At 49.9% G+C, this 18,399-nt stretch overlaps 1 protein-coding gene across 1 annotated transcript in view, besides 8 other annotated features; it reads right to left on the bottom strand.

The window, feature by feature from the left end:
- Positions 1-12,002, bottom strand: part of COTL1 (coactosin like F-actin binding protein 1) — a 52,483-nt gene extending 40,481 nt beyond the window's left edge. The window contains exons 1-2 of the mRNA NM_021149.5: positions 11,762-12,002; positions 11,425-11,507 (exon numbers count right to left, since the gene is read on the bottom strand). Of these exons, the coding sequence (NP_066972.1) occupies positions 11,425-11,507; positions 11,762-11,838 (160 nt within the window). The 5' untranslated portion in view covers positions 11,839-12,002. The remainder of the gene's footprint in view (positions 1-11,424; positions 11,508-11,761) is intronic.
- Positions 353-472: an enhancer, noted in NCBI's record as "active region_11248". NCBI's record gives its function as "activates an Ori minimal core promoter by ATAC-STARR-seq in GM12878 lymphoblastoid cells {active_cell/tissue: GM12878}" and the evidence as "EXISTENCE:reporter gene assay evidence [ECO:0000049][PMID:35858748]".
- Positions 633-692: an enhancer, noted in NCBI's record as "active region_11249". NCBI's record gives its function as "activates an Ori minimal core promoter by ATAC-STARR-seq in GM12878 lymphoblastoid cells {active_cell/tissue: GM12878}" and the evidence as "EXISTENCE:reporter gene assay evidence [ECO:0000049][PMID:35858748]".
- Positions 893-942: an enhancer, noted in NCBI's record as "active region_11250". NCBI's record gives its function as "activates an Ori minimal core promoter by ATAC-STARR-seq in GM12878 lymphoblastoid cells {active_cell/tissue: GM12878}" and the evidence as "EXISTENCE:reporter gene assay evidence [ECO:0000049][PMID:35858748]".
- Positions 7,344-7,483: an enhancer, noted in NCBI's record as "active region_11251". NCBI's record gives its function as "activates an Ori minimal core promoter by ATAC-STARR-seq in GM12878 lymphoblastoid cells {active_cell/tissue: GM12878}" and the evidence as "EXISTENCE:reporter gene assay evidence [ECO:0000049][PMID:35858748]".
- Positions 7,609-8,110: an enhancer, noted in NCBI's record as "H3K4me1 hESC enhancer chr16:84647291-84647792 (GRCh37/hg19 assembly coordinates)". NCBI's record gives its function as "activates a minimal SCP1, AML or CMV promoter by ChIP-STARR-seq in naive H9 embryonic stem cells {active_cell/tissue: H9 hESC(naive)}" and the evidence as "EXISTENCE:reporter gene assay evidence [ECO:0000049][PMID:30033119]".
- Positions 8,111-8,610: an enhancer, noted in NCBI's record as "H3K4me1 hESC enhancer chr16:84647793-84648292 (GRCh37/hg19 assembly coordinates)". NCBI's record gives its function as "activates a minimal SCP1, AML or CMV promoter by ChIP-STARR-seq in primed H9 embryonic stem cells {active_cell/tissue: H9 hESC(primed)}" and the evidence as "EXISTENCE:reporter gene assay evidence [ECO:0000049][PMID:30033119]".
- Positions 11,831-11,880: a silencer, noted in NCBI's record as "silent region_7785". NCBI's record gives its function as "represses an Ori minimal core promoter by ATAC-STARR-seq in GM12878 lymphoblastoid cells {active_cell/tissue: GM12878}" and the evidence as "EXISTENCE:reporter gene assay evidence [ECO:0000049][PMID:35858748]".
- Positions 11,901-12,260: a silencer, noted in NCBI's record as "silent region_7786". NCBI's record gives its function as "represses an Ori minimal core promoter by ATAC-STARR-seq in GM12878 lymphoblastoid cells {active_cell/tissue: GM12878}" and the evidence as "EXISTENCE:reporter gene assay evidence [ECO:0000049][PMID:35858748]".

The raw sequence follows: 18,399 nt of genomic DNA on the forward strand, positions 1-18,399 counted from the left end.
AAATGCACTCATGAAATAAAATATTAAATGCTGACGTGCCATGCCTGCCTTCAAAAACCAGCCTCTGGGGACCTGCCACTGCTGAGGCCACTGAGCTGAATCAGAAAAGTCACAGGCACTTGCTTAAGTGGGAGAGGAAGGTGGCGATGCCTGGGCTCTGGAGTAAGAGGCCTGGGGCCAGAGCAGTCACATGGCCAGTGGTAGCGGCCGGGAGCCTTGTGGGCCACTGGGCTGTTACTTTGGAGGAGGGGACGGCGGGCCCTCCTGTGTGAGCTTAGCTCTCAGACATCTACATGGACTGTCACTCATTTGCCTACTCAACAACATCTGTGCAGGCTGCCAGGTACTGTTCCCAGCGCTGCCAATACTGCAGAGAACAAAGCTGACCTGGTTGCCCCACGGGGCTTGGATGCTCCCAGGAAAGTCACAAGATAAACAGGTGCATAACTGCACATGTGGCTATGATCTTAGGCACTGCTAAATGCTGCAAGGAGATGCTTTTTGACTCCTTGTCACCTTCTCCAAGGCCATGTCTGGTTTCAGTGGTAGTGGGCGTAGCCACTTGGGTACACCATGACATCCTGCCACGTCTAGCTGCTCAACCTCACAGAGGCACAGCCTGGAGTGCAGAAACCCTAAAGCCCCTAAAGGACCCCTCAACCAATGGGGGATAAGAGTCGGTGGCTACGTGCCCCCGCCTCCCAGGGCTGCACCCTCCATGTTCCTCTTAGGGTCCCTGAGGGATTCTGTCCCAGGTGCCCACAGCAGTAACTGTAGGATTCTGTCCCAGGCGCCTACAGCCCATAAGAAGTAGAGCTGAAATTTGAACCCAGGCATTACGGGTTCTCTTCTATAAGCAAGAGACAAAGGAGTGGACAGCCAGCACGTGCTGGGAAAAGCCTATGACCCAGGATTCAGCCCATGACTTGGGCCCACTCAAGGGAGCAACACACCCATGGGGGAAAGAGATTGGCAGCCATCTAACCATGAAGGATGGGGATTCCCCGCCAAGGATACCACCACCAAAGGGACAAAGTCCCTCTCTCCAGGAGGACTTCGCCAAGGAGTTGAAGAAACAGACATGCACACGACCACCATACGGGACACCAACACCACAAAGACAAGGAGGGCATCCGAGCAGAGGGAACATTCACACCGGGCCTTGACGGGTGTGTAGGAGTCCTCCAGGAAGGCGAAACAGATGAAGACAGTGCAGGCAGAGGGAAGAGAGTCCACAGGCCTAGGGAAGCGGGAAGGCAGGCCAGCGCGGCACAGGGGAAGAGCTGAGAGCCTCGGACACAGATCTGGATTCAAAGTGCAGTTCTTCCCAACTGCAGCATCTCCAGCAAGCGACTCTGGCTCTCCAAGGAAAATGTCAGGTTCCTCCTCAGTGAAGTGGGGATAATTTCTACTTGTGGGTGTCACTCTGCTCATTACTCCCTCAGAGAGAAGATAAATTAGATAAACTAACACACGCAGAGCTCCTACGTAGGGCCTGGGACTTGGGCATCCCTAAGGTCAGCATCGTGTGTGTTGGGGACACACACTGGAGGGGTCGGCTGGCCAGCACCTGTCATAAAGGGCACCCCATGTCATGTCTGAGCGTTTGGACCTTATGGAGAAAAGGTGTTGGAAGTGGGAGGCGGGGGAGCAATCTGACCTGAAGGTTAGAAAGCCACCCCTAGCCTGGACTGCAAGCTCACTGGGGTCAGGGAAAGGACTCAACTCAGTACTTGGCAAAGGGCTTGGGGCATAGTAGATGCTCGAGAAATGTCCCGGAGAAGACAAGGTCATGATCAAGGGTGGAGCCCTAAGAAACGCCTAGACTTATCGGGCAGGAAGCAGAAGCAGCAGCAGAAGGAAGTGAGAATGACAGGAGAGAGACATAAAAGGAGAACTAGGCAAGTCTAGCCACGCAGAAGCAGAAGCACAAGCGAGGGGGACTATCTTTTCAGGAGGTGCTGGCCACTGGCAAATGCTGGAGGGAGGTAAAGTGGATCAGAGACAAAGAAATGACCACTAAATCTGGCAACTGGAATATTTACCAAAGACCTAGACATAGAGCTCCATGCTCTGGGTGTGGGTGGGCACCAGAATGAAATGGGGTAAAGAAAGGATGGGAGACAAGGAGGTATTTATAACACCTATAAAATCTGTAAGGGATGCTTTCAAAAAGTTTGCATTAACTTCTGAATATTTTCAAGGGACAAAAACCCAATTCACCTAGTGTTTAGGGAATGCTTTTTTTGAACTTGAGACACTGTACTTACCAGGAAGATACACATCTATCATCCTTCATCATTTTCTGTTTGTGGTGACACAGCCACAAACAGAAAAGAAAGCACAAACATCACCATGCAGTAGACTGAAAGAGCTACCACAAAGCCCACGCCCCTGTGGACACACAAAAAAGCTATGCAGCGTGGCTCAGGGCCTCCCAGCAACAGATCTGTGGGCAAAGAAGGCAATGGGAGACTGGATAGTGCAGAAAATTACAAAGGTAATGTTTTCGCAGCCCTTCAGGGTACCACTTAAAAACAAAAACCCAGCCGGGCGGGGTGGCTCACGCCTGTAATTCCAACACTTTGAGAGGCCAAGGCAAGTGGATCGCTTGAGCCCAGGAGTTCGAGACCTGCCTGGACAACATAGTGAAACCCTGTCTCTACAAAAGATACAAAAATGAGCCAGGCGTGGTAGCAGGCGCCTGTAGTCCCTGCTACTGGAGACGCTGAGGTAGGAGAATCGCCTGAGCTGGGAGGCAGAGGTTGCAGTGAGCCAAGATCGTGCCACTGCACTCCAGACTGGGTGACAGGGCACGACCTTGTCTCAAAAATTAAATTAAATTAAAAACCCAACATTGTTTCTGGAGCAAAGTAGGAACCCAATAAAATGTTTGTCGCATGCATTAACGGACAGACTGTTCAGCACTTTATAACTGCCCAAAGCCCTGTCACAGATTTGGAGCTTCTTTTTGATGTCACATTCCCTTAGACCTTAGGAAAGAAAGCAATTTCTCTCCTTCCCTTCTCGCCCAAATTTCTGAAACCCGGGTGTGTATGTTCAGCTAGGGAAAAAATATTCAGGTGCAAAACAGCACGATAAATAGACTGCCGGCTCTCTGTGTGTTGTATTGCCATATACGCAGAGGTCATGGACAGCAAGTGAATTTGACTCCTTCGCATTCCAGCTCCCTTCTTTTGGTCGCTATACTCCAGTTTTCCGTAGGAACCACCTCTCTGCCACTCTCAGTCTCTGTCATCCAGGTAGGGCTGATGCCACCTCCAAGAGGCATCCCCTAGGCCTGCACTAAGGCCAGTCAGTCTTCCTGGAGGCATAGCAGGCCAGAAAATGGGGCTGTGAGACAGGAGAGTGCAGAGGCAAGGAAGGCCTCCTTCAATCCTTTCTTCAACATCTATGCCAAGTGGTTAGTCGGACTCTCCTGACATACCTCCTGTGATGGGGGCCTCACTTTCTCCTCTGGTAGCCCGTTCTACCTTAAGGGCCTCTTCCTCTCCAGGTCAACCCAAAATCTATCTGATATGGTTTGGCTCTGGGTTCCCACCCAAATCTCACCTTGAATTGTAATAAGTGTCAAGGGCAGGACGGGGTGGAGATAATTGACTCAGGGGGGCAGTTTCCCCCATACTGTTTTGGTGATAGTTCTCACAAAACTGATGGTTTTATAAGGGGCTTCCCCCTTCACTTGGCTCTCAGTCTGTCTCCTGCTGCCACGTAAAGAAGGATGTGTTTGCTTCCCCTTTTGCCATGATTGTAAGTTTCCTGAGGCCTCCCCAGCCATGCAAAACTGTGAGCCAATTAAACCTCTTTTCTTTATAAATTACCCAGTCACGGGTATTTCTTCATAGCAGCGTGAGAAGAGACTAACACACTATCCCTGAATTCCTACTGCGTGGTCCCATTTACCACATAGGGTTGGTGTGGGGGTAGGAACACAAGAAGTCCACACTTACCACATGACAGCCCCTCAAACATCTGAAGACAACACTGGTGTCTCCCAAGGATCTCTCCTCTTGGTCTCACAAGGTTAAATATGCCCAATTTCCTCAGTCAGTTCTCACATGAGAGGCTTTAAATTCCTTGTCCAGCCTGGATTCTCCTCTCCTCTGAGACTGTGTCCAGCTGCCTAACCTGGAGACTATGGCCAGGACTCTTTTAGATGGAAACTAAATCCAGAACCCACTCACACTGGCCTGAGAAAAAATATTACTTGGCTCATGAAAGTGAACCGTCTAAAGAGAAAGCTTCAGGCATGGCTGGATCCCAGAGTTTTCTGGCACGTCACCTGTCTCCACTCCCACCACCAGGCTCTGTTCCTGAGTTCTCAGACAGGTACTCTCTATAAATGGTAGACATGCCCTGTGAGCTCCAAGCCCTCATTATTCTTATTTGTTTTAATCCCAGAGAAAGATAAAAAGACTCTTTACCAACAACTCTGTCCAAAGTCTCAGGGATGAATCTGATTGGCTAGATTTGAGTCACAAGGGCCCTTGAACCAATCGGTTAGCAGAAGAGTGGCTTGCTCTGATTGGACAGGTCTGGGTTATGTGCACTCTCACAGGAACTACATTGGTTGACCAGGATTATTATGAAATGGAAGGGAGAGGTTCCCCCAAAGGAGGGAATGCTGGACAGAAAAAAAAACATCAATCTCTACATCTCTCTCTGTGGTGTTTTGGGTTAAACACTACTGGCTGACCAGAGCCTCATGGGAATATCATCTCCACCCAGACCATCATCCAACAAATGTCACAGGGCACCTGCCTCCAACCAAGCATCTTCATGATGCTGCCCTTCATGAAGAAGCCTTTTCTGGTAACCACCCCACATCTCAAATTTATTTCAACCTATCCATTGATATGTAACACCTTCTGAAGGTGCTACTTTAACAATAACCACATTTATTGAGCTTTACTCTGTGTCAGGCAGTACTCTACAAGCATTATATGGAACAAGCCAGTTTATCCTTACAGCAACCTACATGCAATCATTATCCCCACCTTTACAGACGAGAAAACACAGACCCTGGGAGATCTGCCCAAGGTCACACAGCACAGCAAGGCTATCGTTCAAAGCAAGACGCCCCAGCCTCACCACTGATGCTCTTAACCAATCAGCTCTAAAATCTGCACCAACAGAAAACTGGACTCATTCCCAGATGCCTGGATTCCTTCTAAAATAAAACTGCTTGCAACACATAATTTGAGGTCCATGGATAGAGGATTGCTTTAACAATGTCACATTTGTATGAGAGAAACTACGTAGCCATTTTTAAACTGGTATTGCAGAAGAAGAGGGGAAGATAGGGAAGAAACTTTGGCATTACAGTTGTTGTGGGAGGTGGCTCTAAAATATCTATGATCCCCTTTTGTAGTAGAATTACATACAGAAAACTATTTCAAGAATATAGATAAAAATGAGACCAGCGGTCTGTCCTGGGAGATGACAATAAAATGTCAGCTCCACGAGGACAGGCGCCTTTTCTGCTTCTGTATTTATCCTCAGTGCCTACAGTCGTGCCCCACAGAGTAGCAGTCCCATATGTCGAATGAATTAAATGAATAAACAGGAGAATGAAGGAATAAACACAGGAAGGAACAAGTTCCTGAGTGTTTGCAAAACTATATCTGAACTATATCTACTTGGTATTCTCTTCTTTTGGTTTAGTCTTGCTTTATGAGTATGCCACAGAGAATATGTATTATCTGAATGGTGCAGAAACAAAATGTGATTTCACAGACAGCCCCAGCCACTGCCTCGCCACACATACGTGATCTGTAAGCCCTTTCTGCTGTGGCCAGGTAGATCATACAACCGGTCTGGCAAATGGCCCCTTTCCCTCCACCTCTGCCAGCTGAGCCCTGATTGCTCCAGGCTCCCAGTGGCTCTGTCAGGTGAACCTGTGACCCTCCAGCCCAGCTCAGCACCCATTTCCTTCCCATCATCTCTCCCCCTTCCATCTTCTTGGTGCTCTTGAACGCTACTTCCACATCACTTGAATTCCAAAAACAAAAATGGCAATCGCAGTAATTGACATTTATGGAGTGCTCACTATGTCCCAAGCAGCATAAGGACTTGCTTCCTTAATCCTCCTAATGACCACACTGTAGCAGGTTACCAGATGGGTAACTCACCTGCTCCAGAGCACATGAATGGCAGGTATTTGAACCCAGGCAATCGGACAAAACCCAAACCTTGAACTACTGAGCTAAGCACCTCTCATCATGCTCCTTCATGCAGACCCGGGCCAAGGGTCTAATGCGTGTCCACATGGGGCCAAATGCCTATTGCATACCAGCCTGGGCCAGGTGCCTACTTTGTGCTGAGTGGGGACGTGTACTGAAAGCTTCCGAGTGGAAAGCATAATGCCTCTACGAGTGCTATCAGAGTAAAAATAATTATTTGAGGCCGGGCGCGGTGGCTCACGCCTGTAATCCCAGCATTTTGGGAGGCTGAGGCAGGTGGATCACCTGAGGTCAGGAGTTTGAGACCAGCCTGGCCAACATGGTGAAACCCCGTCTCTACTAAAAATACAAAAACTTGCCGTGTGTGGTGGCACATGCCTGTAGTCCCAGCTACTTGGGAGGCTGAGGCAGGAGAATCTCTTGACCCCGGGAGGCAGAGGCTGCACTCCAGCCTGGGCGACAGAGAAAAACTTTGTCTCAAAAAAAAGAAAAGCAGTGGTAGGGGTAGCCAACACACACCGTGGCCTGTGCTCTCATTTTAGGTGCATTACTTCAGTGAACCCTCCCAGTCACCCTCAGAGGTAGGCATGTCAGGATTCCCATTTTACAGACCTAAAAACTGAGGCACAGAGGGAGGGAGGCACTTGCCCAAGGCCACACACACAATGAGTGAGAAGCAGAGCGGAGATGTCAATCTAGAATGACTCTTTCTTTCTTTCTTTCTTTCTTTTTTTTTTTTGAGATAGAGTCTCACTCTGCTGCCCAGGCTAGAGTACAACAGCGCGATCTCGGCTCACTGCAACCTCTGCCTCCTGGGTTCAAGTGATTCTCCCGCCTCAGTCTCCGAGTAGCTGGGATTATAGGCGCCGGCCACCATGCCTGGCTAATTTTTGTATTTTTAGTAGAGACAGGGTTTCACTGTGTTGGCCAGGCTGGTCTCGAACTCCTGACCTCAAGTGATCCACCTGCCTTGGCCTCCCAAAGTGCCGGGATTACAGGCATGAGCCACGGCGCCCGGACTAGAGTGTTTCTGATTCCAAAGTGTACTCAGAGTTGAAATGAAGAAGGAATCACACTAAGCTAGGTGGGTGGCTGAGTCCTAAATGAGTTGAGATGGGGAAGAGGAATACCGCATGGTAGAAACCTCCAAAATCAAAAGCACCAAGACGGGAAATGTTACAGTGTTGGGCTGCAGATGTGTGAGGGAGGGTGTGTGGAGCTACTAGAGAGGAGATATGGGTGGGGACAAACCGACTAGAAAGCCAAGCAGACAGCATGAGTGTAATCCAATGGGGCAGAAGGGAGCCATAGAAGGTTAATGAGCAGAGGAGTGACTTGATTAGAAATGTACTGTAGAAAGAATTACCCCAGCAAGGGAGGACAGAGTGGATACCAGACAAGGAAGATTAAGGGCAAATAGACTGTTGCTATGAAGAGGAAAGCAGAGATGTTAAGGGGCAAATGGACACTTTTGTGAAAGTGGCATGCCATTCTTCCCTAGGAAGCCACCTCCTCAAGTCAGTCTCCTGGTTTGAGTGGGGCTGCCCCGCCCCCCACCCACTCCAGAGGTGGGCATGTGATCCAGGCCTGGCCACGCAGAGTCTCCATGATTGGTCTAGGGATGGGCACATGACCTCAGGGCCAAAGACAGTCCAGGGACCCCCAAAATCACTGGCAAAGAGGCTTGCTCCGTCTTTCCACCAAGATGGCTCTGCCCAGGGGCTAAACCTCCCCCCTCCCCGCAAGAATGGAGGTGAAGGATGAAGACAGAGCTAGGAGGAGGAGGAGAGGCTGTTTGGAGTTCGGGCAGTCTTTGCTGCTGCTAGGACTTCCCCTGGAGTTTCCAGGCTAGAGGCCACAGTGGATTTTCTGCTTACATTAATCTGCACTGGGCATTTCTCACCGCCCTCGCAAGGTCTCTGACCATCCCAGGCGAACTGAGCTATGGAGCAAGAAGCAAGAGCGGAGGTAGCGGAGGGGCAGGCAGCGAGGAAGGCCGGGAGCCAGGCAAGCTCGGGAAGAAGCAGCGCAGACCCAGAGCAGGCAGAAAGATTGGGAGGATGAGTGCGGGGGTGGGAGGGAACTGGCCTGGCAGCACAGACACCCCGTGGCCCTCTGGAAAACAGCTCTGAGGGAGGAAAGGCCAGGCCAGGAGGCTGGGAAGAAATGAGGAGGGGAGGCTGGGTGGAGAGATCCCATTCTGGAAAGCCGTGGGGGAGGAAGGGGAGAAGGGACAGTAGCCTGAGGTGGGAGGGCCAGGGAAGGGGGTGTTTCAGAGAGAATGCCTGAGTGCCAGAGTGGGGAGGGTTGGGAGAAGAGCAGGACCCCAGGAAGGCCCACACCCTGAGGTTATAAGGAAGAAACTGGGTGCTGTTTCTGGCCTTCCAAGTCTGCTGGCCACCTTGTGAGATGTTTGGAAGCAGGAAGCCCGAACCAGAGTGGAACCTTTCTTCTCAGGCCTGTCAGGATACCTGGCAGGGAACTGGGGCCACAAAAGAGCCCTCTCTGAGTCACAAGTGGGCAACCATGTCATTTGCAACCTGCAAGCAATCCCACGAGAGGTGAGAATCTAAACAACCTCCTCAGAAGCCAAGAGCACCTGCCCCGAGCCAGCCTGCCTGGGTTCAAGTCCCAACTCTGCCACTTTCTAGCTGGGTGAATGCAGGAAGCCTATTAACCTCTCTGGGCCTCCGTTTCCTCATCTGTAGAATAGGAGTAACCTTAGTACCTGCCACACCAGGCTGTTCTGAGGTATGACCAAGATAAGGCACGTCGAGCGTGGTGACTGCTATCCAGCCAGTGCCAGTGTTGAGTCCATTGTCCCTGGGTTATGAGGACACGACGACAGGAAGGAACAAGCGTTTCCGAGAGGAACAAGAGCAGACACGGCAACCATAATTCTCCTATGCATTTGTCCAACAGATGGCTGGGGAAAGAAAGCACTGCAGCTGAAGCTCCCATGGCCCATTCATGAGGATCCACACACAGCAGGGAAGCATTTTTAGCTTCCTCGCCAGACACGCGCCACTCCCCACTCCCATCCCTGGGGGGCAGGAGGTGGGTCTGAGCAGAAAACCACAAGCCTGTGGGAGGAGGGAAGTGTTCTCCCACTACACCAGAGTGGGCTGAGGCCTGGGAGCACCTGCCAGGAGCCTCCTGATGGGATGGATGCTCTTTTCCTCATCCCCTTCTACTTGCTGGAGAGAACAGTAGCTTCAGAGGCAGAACATGGTTTGATGGGGGAAGGGAGGGATGGGTGACCAGCGGGAGGAAAGAAGCTGAATTTAGGGAGGGAAGCTGGTCTGTAAAGCATAGCCTCAGAGCCGGCAAAGCAGAAATACTGCTGACTCTCCTGGCTGTTCACGGACCGGAGGGGAGAAAGTTAAGAGTTTGCACTTACTCCACTTGCAAAAGCATTCAACTACAGAGGCGGAGGGACGGAGGCCTGGGTTCAAATCCTGCCCTGCCAACTCTCCACATCGTTGCAGTGCTTTATGCTGCGATTTTAGGCCAACTGTTTACAAAAGCAATGAATGAATGTCTACAGGCAGCGCTCAAGGAGTAATTTTAGTTTTGTGTGTGTGTGTGTGTGTGTGTGCGCGCACGCGGGTTCTCAGTATCACCCATCCTCTAGTAGTCACACCACAAATACCCTTTGAATTGAACTAAATGCAAAATATAATTTGATTATGGAAGCAGTTAAGGAAAGAAACACCCACATGATCCCTGGCACAATTTTGTACTTTTTATTTATTTCGCAAACAATCATGTAGCTTGTACAGGCACTGTTCTGAGCATTTTATACATACTGACTCACTTATCCTCGCAACAGCACTGTGAGAGTGCAGGTGAGGAAACCAAGACCCCCAGAGATTAAGGAACTCGTTCCAAACCACACAGCCAGGAAGCAGCCGTTCAGGGATTCGAACCCACACCGTCGGCCGGGCGCAGTGGCTCACGCCTGTAATCCCAGCACTTTGAGAGGCCAAGGTGGGCAGATCACCTAAGGTCAGAAGTTAGAGACCAGCCTGGCCAAAATGGTGAAAACCCCATCTCTACTAAAATTACAAAAAATTAGCCAGGCGTGGTCGTGGGCGCCTGTAATCCCAGCTACTCAGGAGGCTGAGGCAGGAGAATCTCTTGAACCCGGGAGACGGAGGTTGCAGTTAGCTGAGATTGTACCACTGCACTCCAGCCTGGGCAAAAGAGGAAGATTCTGTCTCAAAAATAAATAAATAAATAAATAAATAAATAAGTAACCCACACCGTCTGGCTCAGGGTCCACGCCGTAACCTCCGGGCTGTGCTGCCGTTGTCCGAAAGCTTGCTTCCAACTAAAGACCAGAGATGGGAGGGAGTCGCATTCTCCAATCTCTTTAAAAGGTCCCATTACCAACATCACAGAGCCTCTGCCACTACCGAAGGGTTTATGGCGATGCCTGCCACGTGGTCTTTCTTTTCATGGTTCACAAGCCACAGGGAAGTGCCTAAGGCACACAAATCTTAAGTATACAGTCTGATGATTTTTCACGCGGGTACACACCTGCATAACCCCCTCCCAGATCAACAAATGTCTACAGAGACATTTTCAGCTCCCAGCAGTCCGGGTGGTGTGCCCCTCCCCATCAGTGGCTATCTAGCCCCAAAAGCTAATCTCGATTCTGACATTCACACCATAGATTAGTTTCGCCTTGTCTAGGATTTCTAAATGGAATCATATGGTGTGTACTCTTTTGCATCTGATTCTACTCGTCAAATTAAAAATCACATAAAATCAGCACACGGGCAGACAATGATAGCGGGAGAAAGGAGGGCGCGGCTGAGTTTCTTTCCCTTCCAAGCAGCCCCCTAGCCTGTTCGTATTTGGGCTCAGTGACTGATCAAAGGGGACAGTGGGAAGAGCTGGATGGACACTGGAGTTTGGAAACACAGGAGTTGACCTTAGAAAACCAGTGGACCGCAGGGGGCAAAAGAGCTGCCCCGCCTGGAGAAGGCATTGTAGGATGGCGGAGGCAGGTGGGTCACTTCTGTTGCTTCGGATGTCCAGAGGGGAGAAGGTTTTATGAGGCCTTAAAACGCTCACACCGGGTTCCTCCCACGCCATGCGCCAGGGGCACCCCATGTGGCCACCGGTTCCTCCCGGGTTCGCTCTGGCCGGGGCTCCCCGGGTGCAGACAACCTCCCAACGACCGCGCATCCGCCCGGCAGGCGCGCCTCCCTACCTGTGCACTGCTGGATGAAGTGCTGGTACTCCGCTCCCTGCTCGCCGGGGACGATGGTGGAGCCGTCATATTTAAAAGTCACCCTTTGGGTTGGGAGAAGAAAAAAACACACACACACATCAGCGCTGGTGGCCGCGCGACGCGGCGCTTGCAGAGGACAATCTAACAGACGCGCTGGCCACGGAGAAGCCCGCGGGGGCCTGGCACGCCGTCCCGGAATAAGGCGAGGAAGACAGCGCGGGAGGCCCGAATCCGTCCCGCCTGGAGGCCGGCTCGGTGCACGAGGCCCCGCGCGAGCCCGGGGAGCGGGGCGTGGAGACGAATGAAAAGTTCCTACCAGATGACGGCCGAGCCGTCGTCGCGCACCAGGTTGTACGCCGCCCGGCAAGCCTCTTTGTCGATCTTGGTGGCCATCGCCGCGGAGCCGCAGCGGGACACTGTCCGGGGCGGCCGAGCGCGCCCCTGGCCGGCGGCGGGGATGGGAGCGCGGCGGGTACGCGCCGAGGGCGCACGGGCTGGCGGCGGTGGCGACGGCTACGCGGCGCCTGCAAGCTGCGAGCGCGGCGGCGGCTTCCACTGCGGACGGAGAGCGCGCGGGGACCCCAGGCCGTGGCCCGCCCCGCCCCCCCGCGCCCATTGGCCGCCCAGGCGGCGGCCCGCCTCTTCATTGGCCGTCGGGCTGCGGGGGCGGAGCGTCTTGATTCTCTGGCGGCCAATCCCAGACCGGAAGGCTTGCGCAACTCCGCGGTGGGGGCTGGAGTAGGGGCTTTGCCTCCTCCCTCTCACTCTCCCTCCTCCCTCCCGCTCTCTTCTCCCCCAACATCCCTCTTCTCTCTCCTTCTCCTTCTCACTTCCCCTCCTCCCCTCCCGACCCCTCCCTGGAAACTCCCACTACCCCAACCCCCTTTCCCACCCCGCCTTCCTCCTCTCCCTCCTCCTTCCTCTTCTTCCCCCACTGCTTGCTTCCCCCACTTCCCTGACCTCTTCCCCCTCCCTTCCCTCCCCCTCTTTCTCCCTTCCCCCTTTATTCTTCTTCCTCTCTCCTCCTCCCTCTTCTTGCCTATCCCAGCCCAAAACTTCTCCATCCTCCCTATTTCCTTCTCCCCAAGCTCTCCTCTTTCCTCCTCCTTGACCCCCTCCCCTGCTGCCCCCGGCTTCGCCTCCCTCTTCTCCACTTACCCTCCTGGCATCTCCTCCCTCCCTGTCCCCTACTCCCTCCTCCTATTCCCCCTCTCCCCCTTCCTCATTCTCCCCACCCCCCTGCCCCTGAGGCTGCAGGGCTGCAGAGCTCCACAGGGGACCTCCACGTGGATGATGTAATGCGTCAAACCCAAGGAGACAGGCTGGCCACTGTCCCTACCCCAGCGTTTGGTTCCATGGATTCTAGGTGGGGAGGAACTGGAAAGAATGAAGCATTTTAAATAGGAGGGGGTAGAAAGTGGACTGCTTCCAAAACGCTGGTGGGCTCGCGTTTACTCTGGATTCTGGTCATTTGCATTCCTATCTTAACCTCTCCCTTTGGGCTCCTCTGAAAGCACGAGCTGACTCATTCTGTCTTCCTCATTCCTTCACTGACTCATTCATTCATTCCCTCATCCAGCCATTCCACAGAGACCAGTTACAGCGTCCAGGTAGGTAAAAAGGCAGGATCCTGAAGACTGGGCTCTTGAATTGCATCCAGTACTGCCACTTTCCAACTGGGGGCCATTGGAAAGCCTCAAAACCTCTTTTAAATGACTCCTCAAATGGGAAAAATAGTATAACTGACATCACTGCTTTGTTTTAAGTGTAATTGAAATGATACTTGGAACAAATATACTAGACATTCGATAAAATGTCATCATTGTTGGTTATTAAGTGATAAAAACAAATCCTAAATAGAAACCCAAAAGGTCAGGGACAATGTCCAATTAATGTTAGAATTCTCAACAAGCAAAAAAACAAAAACGAGAAATTGAATGAATCAATCAATCAGTCAATCAATGGGTAGTTGAATGGGTGGGTGGACAGGAACACAGTTTCAGAAGAGTAGAGGCAGATGCTGTTATAAATAAGACAAAAAGAAATTCACATTTCATACCCCACAAAGCCATTCCTACCTTACTCCTTGACAAGGGTAATGGGACAATTGGCCATTAGAAAGAAGAACAAAGGTGGATCCTTTGATCAGGGAAAATTCCAAAAGGATCAAAAATTTAAACACAAATAAAGGAAATCAGACCAGTCGCAGTGGATCACTCCTGTAATCCCAGCATTTTGGGAGGCTGAAGTGGGAGGATCTCATAAGCTCAGGAGTTCGAGACCAGCCTGGATAACAGGGGGAAAGCCCATCTCTACTAAAAATACAAAAATTAGCCAGGCGTGGTGGCAGACGACTGTAATCCCAGCTACTTGGGAGGCTGAGGCAGGAGAATCGCTTGAACCCGGGGCGGGGGGCAGAGGTTGCAGTGAGCTGAGATCGCACCATTGCACTCGAGCTTGAGCGATAAAGCGAGACTCTGTCTCAAAAAAAGGAAATCACAAAAGTGCCAGAAGAAAATATGGGGAGCTTCCTTCTAACCATAAACCATGTTACCCAAATCCAAATCCAAAAGCCATTGAAAAGATGAATACATTCAAACACATAAAAAGTGATCCAGGAAAAAAAAAAAAAAACATACCATACCACCTCATGCAAAGTGTAAACATAAAAAGACAAAGCAGTAAAAAGTGTTTGCAACTCAAGTAAAGAATTAGTCTTGCTAAAATATAGAGAAGTCAAACTTAAAAAAAAGAAAATGAAAAGAACAATGGGCACAGAATATGACCAGACAGATTAAATGATCTTAAACATGCAAAAAGATGCTCAACCTCAACTCCTAGTAAGAGAAATGCAAATTAAAGCAAAATTGAGATACCTTTAAAAAATAAATAAATAAACTAGCAGTTTGGTAAAAATAAAAAACTTTGACAAGCCTACTTTGCTGGGGAGGCTGTGGAAGACCCAGGTCCTCTTGTACATTGCTGGTGGGAGTGTGAATTGACACAACCCCCATGGAGCCGCCGTAGAGGCCAGTTGGCAATGTCTAGCAAATTTACAAGTCTGTGTGCCCTTGATCAATCCATTTACCCTATAGGGTCAGTGGTGCCCAGCCATGGCTGGACATGGGAATCACCAGGGTCCCCTGATCCCACACCCAGACATTCTGATATAATTGGTCTGAGATATGCCCTGGGTATGGAGATTTTTTTTTTTTTTTTTGAGAAGGAATCTCACTCTGTTGCCCAGGCTGGAGTGCAATGGCGTGATCTCGGCTTACTGCAACCTCTGCATCCCGAGTAGCTGGGGTTACAGGTGCGTACCACCACGCCTGGCTAATGTTTGTATTTTTAGTAGAGATGGGGTTGGCAGGCTGGTCTTGAACTCCTGACCTCGTGATCTGCCCGCCTCGGCCTCCCAAAGTGCTGAGATTACAGGCATGAGACACCGCACTCGGCATTTTTTTTTTTTTTTTTAAAGGCAGGGTCTTGCCTGCCTCAAAAAACTCTGTCACCCAGGCTGGAGTACAGTGGTGCAATCTCAGCACACTGCAGCCTTGACCTCCCAGGCTCAAGCGATCCTCCCACCTCAGCCACTCAAGTAGCTGAGACTACAGGCACGTGCCACCACGCCTGGCTAATTTTTGTATTTTTTTGTAGAGACAGGTTTTTGCCATGTTGCCCAGGCTGGTCTGGAACTCCTGAGCTCAAGTGATCTGCCCGCCTTGGCCTTCCAAAGTGCTGGGATTAGAGTTGTGTGCCACCCGTATGGGGATTTTTGTAAAGCCCCCTGAGTGATGCTTACGTTCGACTGGGGCTGAAAGTCACTGCTATAGATAATAGATACACTTGTATGTGTGCAAAATATATCCAGGGTTATTCATTGAGCTTTACTTTTAAGGCAGAAGGTGAGGGCTAACCTGAGTCCCCATCAGTGAGGGGCTAGATGAATAGGTAATAACGCTGGTGAACCATGCACGACTATGAAGCTGTAAAAGAAAGAAAGGATGAGGACCCTCTCTAGATGCTGGTATGGAACATTCTACAAGATAGATCATGAATACGCAAAGCTAGCTACTGAATAGTGTGTTCAGAACAACACTACCTTTTGGGTAAAATGGGGTGGGTGTTAATATTGTATTTGTTTTGTTTTTTTCAGAGGGAGTCTCGCTCTGTCACTCAGGCTGGAGTGCAGTGGCGCGATCTCGGCTCACTGCAATCTCTGCCTCGCGGGTTCAAGTGATTCTCCTGCTTCAGCCTCCTGAGTAACTGGGACTACAGTGCACGTCACCACGCCCGGCTAATTTTTGTATTTTTAATAGAGACAGGGTTTCACCACGTTGGTCAGGCTGGTGTCGAACTCCTCATCTCAGGTGATCCGCCCGCCTTGGCCTCTCAAAGTGCTGGGATTACAGGCGTGAGCCACCACGCCCAGCCTGCATTTGTTTATATTGGCATTGGCATTGAAACTTCTGGTAGAGAACACAAGAGAAAACTAACAGTACCTGTGGTGGAGGTGAAGCAGAAAGTCAGGCAAAAAGGGTTAGGGATTGGGGTAGGAGGGTGGTGGGTGTTACTACATACCTTCTTGTTTTAGTTTAGTTCTCGACCACGTGAATGTATTATCTGTTCAGAATGCTAAACTACCACCCAGAAACGTGGCTGCCATACTGAATTCAATCCTCAGTCTCCATGGTTCAGCGTTCCTGGAGGAATCCTATGAATGTGTAGGGAACTGGGAAGCCCCACTTCAGTCCTCCTTTCATTGCTGTTCTCTTTCTAGTCATTGTTGCGATCGCCCTCTACTGGACCGAAAGTGTAAGGGATTGGTTTGAAAGAGAACCCTGATTTTGAGCACCTTGCTGTCCATTTGCCCAGCTAAAGGAGAAAAATAAACCTCATATCAGAAATAAATATTCTGTGTAAATATTTGTTTAAATTGCAATCCATGTGATATAAAACAATCTAATTCAATTCATGTTTCTTTAAGAGAAATCAAAGTATTTGACACTTAACTATGTGCTATGCACTGTGTTAAGAACTGGGGAAGTAGGCCAGGCGCAGTAATCCCAACAATTGGGAAGGCCGAAGCAGAAGGGTTGCTTCAGCCGAAAATTTGGAGACCAGGCTGGTCAACATGGCAAAGCCCTGTCTCTAAATAAAAATAAAAATAAAAGCTAGTCAGGAATGGTGGCAGGTGCCTGTAATCCCAACTCGCGAGAGGCTGAGGTGGGAAAATTGCTTGAACCAAAAAAGATCAAGGCTTCAGTGAGCTATGATCAGGCCACTGCACTCCAGCCTGGGCGACAGAGCAAGACTCTGTCTCAAAAAAAAAAAAAAAAAGGAATTGGGAATTGCTATAAATTAATCCATCCATTCATTCATTCTTTCCTGGCACTGAGCCTATTTCGTGTCCAAGGCGGGGTCACAAACTTACTTGCCTGTAGGGGGCAGGCATGGAATGTAAATGAACCAAGCACAGACCATGTAAGAAAATTTGTTCTGGAAAAGGTGATCCTCTCTGTTCTGTCTTCCTCCAGGTGAAAGTTTCATGCTCAGAGCAGCTTCCTCATCCAAAGAGAGTCACTGGTTCTCAGCTCTGCCATAGTTGCTATGCACAATGCCAAGCTTCTGGTTGTTTCAGCAAAGCAAAAAATCTGGATGTCTCTGAGAAATCTCTTATTCCTACATTTTGGTGATAAAAATGCACACAAGAGCTATTTGTGTGCAAATGTGAACTAGACTAATATCTCCCAGTCCTCTCAGGGCTTAAAGTCTATTATGGGTGACAAGCATTTACTTCACTGTGGACACTGTTGGTTGTCAGCAACAGAAAACTCAATTCAAATGGGCTTGAACAATGGAAAAAAAAAAAGTAAAGACCTGCTGACAAGAGTCCAGATGAAGGTGGAATTCAGGCATGGTTTACTCCTGGCTCTGTAGCTCTGCATGTCTCTACTTTGCCCTCCTTTGTGTATCAGTTTCATCTTCAAGCAAATTCTACCCCTCTGCTTGGCACACCCCATCCCAAAATCTGAATGGCTAACTTCTCATTCTGACCTCAAATGTTACCCCCTCCCTCAGAGGGGCTTTCCCCAGCATCCCAAAGTTTAAAAGTCCCCCTCTGTAACCCTCCTCCAGCCACTATCCCATAACCATTTTTTGTTTTCCGTAGTACTCACTAATCACTATCTGAAATTACCTTTTTCATTTATCCCTTTACTCGAATATTGTCTATCCACTCCTAGAACATCAGGTCTATGAGGGCAGGAATAACGTTCATCTTGCTCATCATTGAATGCCAGTTCCCGGCACAGCACCAGTCCCAGACAGACACACAACTTGTTGTTGAATGGAAGGATGCAGAGCGACAGGGAGTGCAGAGCCAAGGAAGGTGGTATGGACAAAAGCACAGGCATAGAAATCAATGGAATAGAACTGAGAGTCCAGAAATACACTCTTACATTTATGGCCAATTTTTTTTTTTTTTTAGAAAGTCTCACTCTTTCTCCCAGGCTGGAGTGAAGCAGTGCAATCTCGGCTCACTGCAGCCTCCTCCCCTTGGGTTCAAGCAATTCTCGTGCCTCTGCCTCCTGAGTAGCCGCCACTATGTCCCGCTAATTTTTGTATTTTTAGTAGAGATGGGGTTTCACCATGTTGGCCAGGCTGGTCTCAAGCTCCTGACCTCTGGTGATCCACCCATCTTGGCCTGCCAAAGTCCTGGGATTATAAGCATGAGCCACCGTGCCCGGCCTGGTCAATTGATTTTTGACAAGTGTACCAAGACAGTTCAATGGAAAAAGAACAGTCTTTCAATAAACAGTGATGAGACAACTTGATAGCACATGCAAAAGAATGGAGTTGGACACTTACCTCACACCATATACAAAAATTAACTCAAAGTGGATCACAGACGTAAACATAAGAGTTACCCTTAGATGAAAAGATAGGCATAAA

Source organism: Homo sapiens, chromosome 16, assembly GCF_000001405.40.
Source record: "Homo sapiens chromosome 16, GRCh38.p14 Primary Assembly".
Taxonomy (NCBI): domain Eukaryota; kingdom Metazoa; phylum Chordata; class Mammalia; order Primates; family Hominidae; genus Homo; species Homo sapiens.